Here is a 6013-nt window from a genome sequence, read left to right as displayed (position 1 = left end):
GCTGGCTTTAAACCTGTCACTCCTTCTCCCAGCCCTCAACTTCCAGCAAAATGGGTCAATTTTATAAAACTGAAAAGGTTAAATGCTGGCATCTCAACTTGGTTTTCCAATGTCCATATTCCCAGCACTCACAGACACATTTAAAGCAGGAAGATGGTGGAGAAACAGAATGGGGTGATGGTGATGTGCTGGCCTGATTTTTTTTTTTTTTTTGAGATTGAATCTCGCTCTGTCACCCAGGCTGGAGTGCAGTGGCATGATCTCGGCTCACTGCAACCTCTGTCTTCTGGGTTTAAGTGATTCTCTTGCCTCAGCCTCCCGAGTAGCTGAGGTTACAGGAGCGCACCACCACGCCTGGCTGATTTTTATACTTTTAGTAGAGACCGGGTTTCATCATGTTGGCCAGGCTAGTCTGTAACTCCGGACCTCAAGTGATCCGCCCACCTTGGCCTCCCAAAATGCTGGGCTTACAGGCTTGAGCCACCGCGCCGGGCCGGCCTGATCTTTGAACACTGTGTTGTTTCGAGGATGGCAGGAATCAAAGTCGCCCTGGTTAGTCTTTCTCCGCTTTGTTCTATTGGGTCAAACTTGAAAAAGAGGGATACCCCTTCTGGCCATTTGGGGAAGGGGGTGTGGAGACAAAAAGGGGTAGAGGAGAGAATATATTGAAAGACAAGACTGGGGAGACAGCTGAAGCCCAGTGACGGGCTCCCGGGCTCTGTCTTGCTGCCGACCGGCCGGCAGAAGGCTGGGAGGAGAGCGGCGTAAACAGAGGCATCTGGTCCCCCAGCATGGAGCGGCGGGTCCGTGAACCGTGGCAGATGCAGCCTCAGCTGTGATTGGGCACGAGGCCTCGGTGTCCAAGCCTGGGTCACGCGCAGGGCCCATTTTAACTGTGACAGTGCAGTGTCAAACTGCCATTCTTTCTTTCTCGTGTGTTTTTTTTTCCTCTGAAATCTGCCAGCTCTCGGAAGCAGCCTAGACTTAGGCCCCTCGGGTTCCCAGGCTGGAGGAGGCGAGCGGGGGGAAAGGCAGTGAGTGAGTGACGTCCAGGGAGGGACGCTGAGGAGGGGGAGCCCGAAAGCCAGTAGCAGGCAGGCAAGATGTGAAAAGAAGGGCTCTTTGGGTTTTGCATCGTGGGCAGAATTAAGCTGAGATGAGGCACAGGTGCTGGGGTTAGCAAATTATGCAGAAGGACATTTTAAGGCTTTGCGCATGAGGCGGAAGCGTGAGCTCTGGGAAGACATAAATTGTTCTTCGTCAAAACTTAGGAAGAAAGCCAGTGGCAGCTAGTTCCTCAAAAATCACTTGATATATTTGTGGAGGAAACCAAAAGAATGGAGGTGTCTTTGTAAGAGGTGCTGTGTTCCGGCAAAATGTGGCTTTGCTCTCTTGGCTCTCTGGGGTTTAATCAACACGACTACCCTCTCCTCGATGGTTGTCTTTGGGGAAGTCTGGAGGAACGGGCCCTTTTCTGAAGCTGGTGACTCGGGTGGGTAACAGTTCTGAAACCTCTTCTGGAAGCAATTCACAACACCCTGCCTTTTCCATTTCAGGGTATATCCCTCCCTCCCTCCCTCCCTCCCTCCCTCCCTTCCTTCCTTCCTCCCTCCCTCCCTCCCTCCCTCCTTTCCTTCCTTCTCTCTCTGTTAGAAAGGATGGCATTAATTTCAGAACTTGGTTTATTAAAAAACCCACACGGCCGGGTGCAGTGGCTCACGCCTGTAATCCCAGCACTTTGGGAGGCAGAGGCGGGCAGATCACTTGAGGTCAGGAGTTTGAAACCAGCCTGACCAACATGGTGAAACCTCATCTCTACTAAAAATACAAAATTAGCAGGGCGTGGTGGCGCATGCCTGTAATCCCAGCTACTTGGGAGGCTGAGGCAGGAGAATCCCTTGAACCTGGGAGGTGGAGGTTGCAGTGAGCCGAGATGGACCATTGCTCTCCAGCCTGGGCAACAAGAGTGAAACTCCATCTCAAAAAACAGAAAACAAAACCCCACAAAACAACAAAACACCCACACATGGCTGGGCACTGTAGTGTAGGCTGGGTATCATGGCTTACACATGTAATCCCAGCACTTTGGGAGGCCAAGGCAAGAGGATCTCTTGAGGTCAGGGGTTCAAGACCAGCCTGGGCAACATAGTGAGACTTTGTTTCTACAAAAAATGAAAAGATTAGCTGGGCATGGTGGTGTGCCTGTGGTCTCAACTACTCAGGAGGCTGAGGCAAGAGGATCACTTGAGCCCAGGAGGTTGAGGCTGCAGTGATCTATGATTGCATCATTGCACTCCAGCCTGGGCAACAGAGCGAGATCCTGTCTCTAAAAATCAAACAGACAAATAAACGAGCCTTCCAGGGCAGGCTTTGACTTTCCATTTGTTTTGGTTTCTTTCTGGAATCTTAGAGATGGGGGAGTGAGGAGACATTGCTGCAACCTGTCTCGGGGCATATTTTTATCCATTGGCTAAATCTGTGGCGACGAAGCCATATGTCTCACCCTTAATTCCACACTTGAGCCTTTTGGGTGTTGCGTTTCTCATTCTTGTTTCTTTTTCTCTGGTGCCACGTCCCTCCTAGGTTCATCCCAGGTTTTCCTTATTTCTTTCCATTCCTTCATCCAGCAGGAAAGGACTCATAAGCAGACATGACTTAGAAATCTCTAGGCAAAAAATACTTCCCAGTTTTAGGGGAAGAGACCGGACAAATACCCCAGTGATGGGGCATCCCGAGACCCTGGGGCTTCGACTCCCGGGGAGGTGGGCTGGGGTTATGATTGTAGTTTAAAAACCAAAACTAGGCCCGGCATGGTGGCTCATGCCTGTAATCCCAGCAGTTTGGGAGGCCGAGGTGGGCAGATCATGAGGTCAGGAGATCGAGACCATCCTGGCTAACACAGTGAAACCGTGTCTCTACTAAAAATACAAAAAATTAGCCGGATGTGGTGGTGGGCACCTGTAGTCCGAGCTACTCGGGAGGCTGAGGCAGGAGAGTGGCATGAACCCGGGAGGTGGAGCTTGCCGTGAACCCAGATCATGCCACTGCACTCCAGCCTGGGCGACAGAGTGAGACTCCTTCTCAAAAAACAAACAAACAAAAAACCCAAAACTAAAACCAAACTAATTGTATTACTTGCTGTAACCTAATTTCTATTAAGTCCAGATTGATTCCCTCCAGATGTGGTTCCTGAGCCCCTAAATCCTGTGACTTCCTATAATGACAGACTCTCCTTTCCCCTTTCTCACTGTCTCTCTCCTTAGTCCTCACAGCTTGTGTCTTGAATGTATTTCCATTTCCCTCAGATATGTATTCTGTACCTACGCCAAAGCCCCTTCCGACTCTTCCACTGGATGGTACATTTTCCCTCCGTCTCTTTTCCCTTCAGGTCTCTGAGTGTGTTTGACTTTCTCCTTCTGTGTCATCCTGTGTCTCCTCCCCGACTCCCCTCTCCAACCTCAAGGGGCTGATCAGCTTTTGGCACTCACCTCTGCACCTTTTTCTACTCAAACTCTTTCAAAACAGGGTGTGGGGGTACGCTCTGATATCCTAAACACATTCCGACTTCTCAATAGGAGAAGTTAAGCCAATGCGCCGGCTCCAGTTGTGCGTGGATAAGCCGCACCATTTCTGCGTGATGTGCAGTCTGCGACGCTGAGCCATTTGTTCTCCATTGAGTTGGTTTCTGTACAGATGAAGCCTTTTATTCATCCTAGCTATAAAGTGGCACCGGGGAGTATAATAAATGAGAAACTTTCACACTGATGTTGATGCAAAGTGCCTTTCTTTTCCAAACATCTGGCCCCTTGCTAAATCGTCACAGTGCCCGATGCTCCCTGAGCCTCAGCTCCCTGGACCGTCGTGGAGCCTGCACGGGCTGCTCGGGATCTGTTCTCAAGTTGTTGCGGGGATCCTGCCGTATGATGACAATTAGAAGCAGTTAGTGTGCAGATGAGGCCTGCGAGTGGCAGGTGGCAGGAACGGGCCTCAATTAACTAACAGGCACCAAATCCCTTCCTAATGAGGCTGGGCCACCCAGATGAGCCAGGAAGCATGTGTCACTGACAGCAGCAGAGGATATGAACTGGAGAGGGGGAAAGGGTGGTCAACAGGTACCTGGCTCAGCCACAGAGACAACCCTTTCGGTTTCATGGCTCGGAAAGGCAAATGGGTGTGGCCAGCAAAGGATGGCGTGAGGCAGAGAGCAGGGGCTTTGTCAGACTCAGTTTTGCACAGCATTTTATCTCTTTGGGTGGTTCCCTTTGGTCAGTTCACCTTCTTAACGTGTTTGGGTGAAGAGTTAGAATGCCTCCCAGGATAAGTGGTCAGTGAGAAATGGCCCAGCCAGCAGGCAAGGTATGAATGTCAGAAACTTAATAAAGGACCATTGTCTTGAGTGGAATTTGAATTCCAAATCAGACACGCTGCAAGTGTCGCATTGGGCTCTGTAGTTAAGGGCCGGTGGCCATTTCCATTGCAAATCTTCCGGAGCTTTGTGTGGATTCATCATCTGAATTTATATGGGATTGAAACTTGTCTGGCTCAGTGTGAACTTTTAAGAATTAAAAAAGAAAATAACTTTAAAAAACGCATAAAGTGTTAGCAGGGTGGTGTCGACGGGTGCATTCCCTGCTTCTTGTTCCCTCTAATCCTTCCGTCCTAAACAACTTGCTGGAAAAGTTTTGGACTTATAGAAGAAAGATCCATTGCCCTGGAGTGTGAATCTCTCCAGTTTTTCTTTTTTTTTTTCTTTCTTTCTTTCTTTTTTTTTTTTTTTGAGATGGAGCCTCAATCCCTCACCCAGGCTGGAGTGCAGTGGTGCAATCTCCGCTCACTGCAACCTCCGCCTCCTGGGTTCAAGCGATTCTCCTGCCTCAGCCTCCTGAATAGATGGGACTACAGGTGCACACCACCTTGCCAGGCCAATCTTTGTAATTTTTATTTTTAGTAGAGACAGGGTTTTGCCATGTTGGCCAGCCTGGTCTCAAACTCCTGACCTCGGGTGATCCGCCCGCCTTGGCCTCCCAAAGTGCTGGGATTATAGGCCTGAGCCACCACACCCAGCCTGAATCGCTCCAGTTTTTCTAGAAGTTGAGGCAAGTGGGGTGTCTCACCAGCTGTGCACTCATCGTTCTGCTGCGGTATGAACGGGGGTACCCATAACGTCTGCACTTTCCTGGGGCCACAGCTTTGTGCTGTGCAGTCCTCTCATTAGAAAGCCATATTTTGGCGTGTGAGTTAGGGGCATGTTTGAAACTGGTTATTTTCAATTCTTTTCCCATCCCCCTGCCCCTTCATTCTTCCCTTACAGCGCAAAAATAATGTTGAAAAAGCCCCAAAGCTTTAAAAATAAGGCACAGAGCCGGGACTGGGGATGTGGCTGTCCCTTTGGGCACATGCGTGTGATGCTGTTTGGATAATATTACGCACCGTATGTGTCAGGCTGCAGAGCTCAGAAACAATGAGGTAAACCAGGAACACACTTGGGACTGCCACACGTTTCTCTCCGTGGTTTTCTGATCCAAAGAGTATTTAATTGAACGTTTAGGTCCTTTCCCTAATTTGTTGATATGAGAACAAATGTTGACAAAGAGAATTCTCTTTTTTAAAGGGGGAAGTTTGCTAACATTTATATATCCTGTCAGTTTTATCTGTACATGTTTGTAGCTCTGTGACTTGGAAAATTAAAGACTCTATTTCAATTTTTCAGCATAAGTTATTTTAATTTTCTTGAGGATCATGTCGTTACACATTCTCCAAACCTTTTTTTTTTTTTTTCTGAAAGAGTCTTGCTCTGTCACCTATGCTGGAGTGCAGTGGTGTGATCTTGGCTCACTGCAACCTCTGCCTCCCGGGTTCAAGCCATTCTCCTGCCTCAGCCTCCTGAGTAACTGGGATTACAGGCTCCTGCCACTACACCTGGCTAATTTTTATATTTTTAGTAGAGATGGGGTTTCACCATGTTGGCCAGGCTGATCTTGAACTCCTGGCCTCAGGTGATCTGCCCGTCTCG

The 6013-nt window shown here is 49.1% G+C and overlaps 2 annotated features.

Annotated features, from left to right (window-relative positions):
• Positions 332 to 851: an enhancer, noted in NCBI's record as "H3K4me1 hESC enhancer chr21:34524878-34525397 (GRCh37/hg19 assembly coordinates)". NCBI's record gives its function as "activates a minimal SCP1, AML or CMV promoter by ChIP-STARR-seq in naive H9 embryonic stem cells {active_cell/tissue: H9 hESC(naive)}" and the evidence as "EXISTENCE:reporter gene assay evidence [ECO:0000049][PMID:30033119]".
• Positions 852 to 1372: an enhancer, noted in NCBI's record as "H3K4me1 hESC enhancer chr21:34524357-34524877 (GRCh37/hg19 assembly coordinates)". NCBI's record gives its function as "activates a minimal SCP1, AML or CMV promoter by ChIP-STARR-seq in naive H9 embryonic stem cells {active_cell/tissue: H9 hESC(naive)}" and the evidence as "EXISTENCE:reporter gene assay evidence [ECO:0000049][PMID:30033119]".

Source organism: Homo sapiens, chromosome 21 (genome assembly GCF_000001405.40).
Source record: "Homo sapiens chromosome 21, GRCh38.p14 Primary Assembly".
NCBI classification, from domain to species: Eukaryota; Metazoa; Chordata; class Mammalia; order Primates; family Hominidae; genus Homo; species Homo sapiens.
This window is presented reverse-complemented; position numbering and strand designations above follow the sequence as displayed.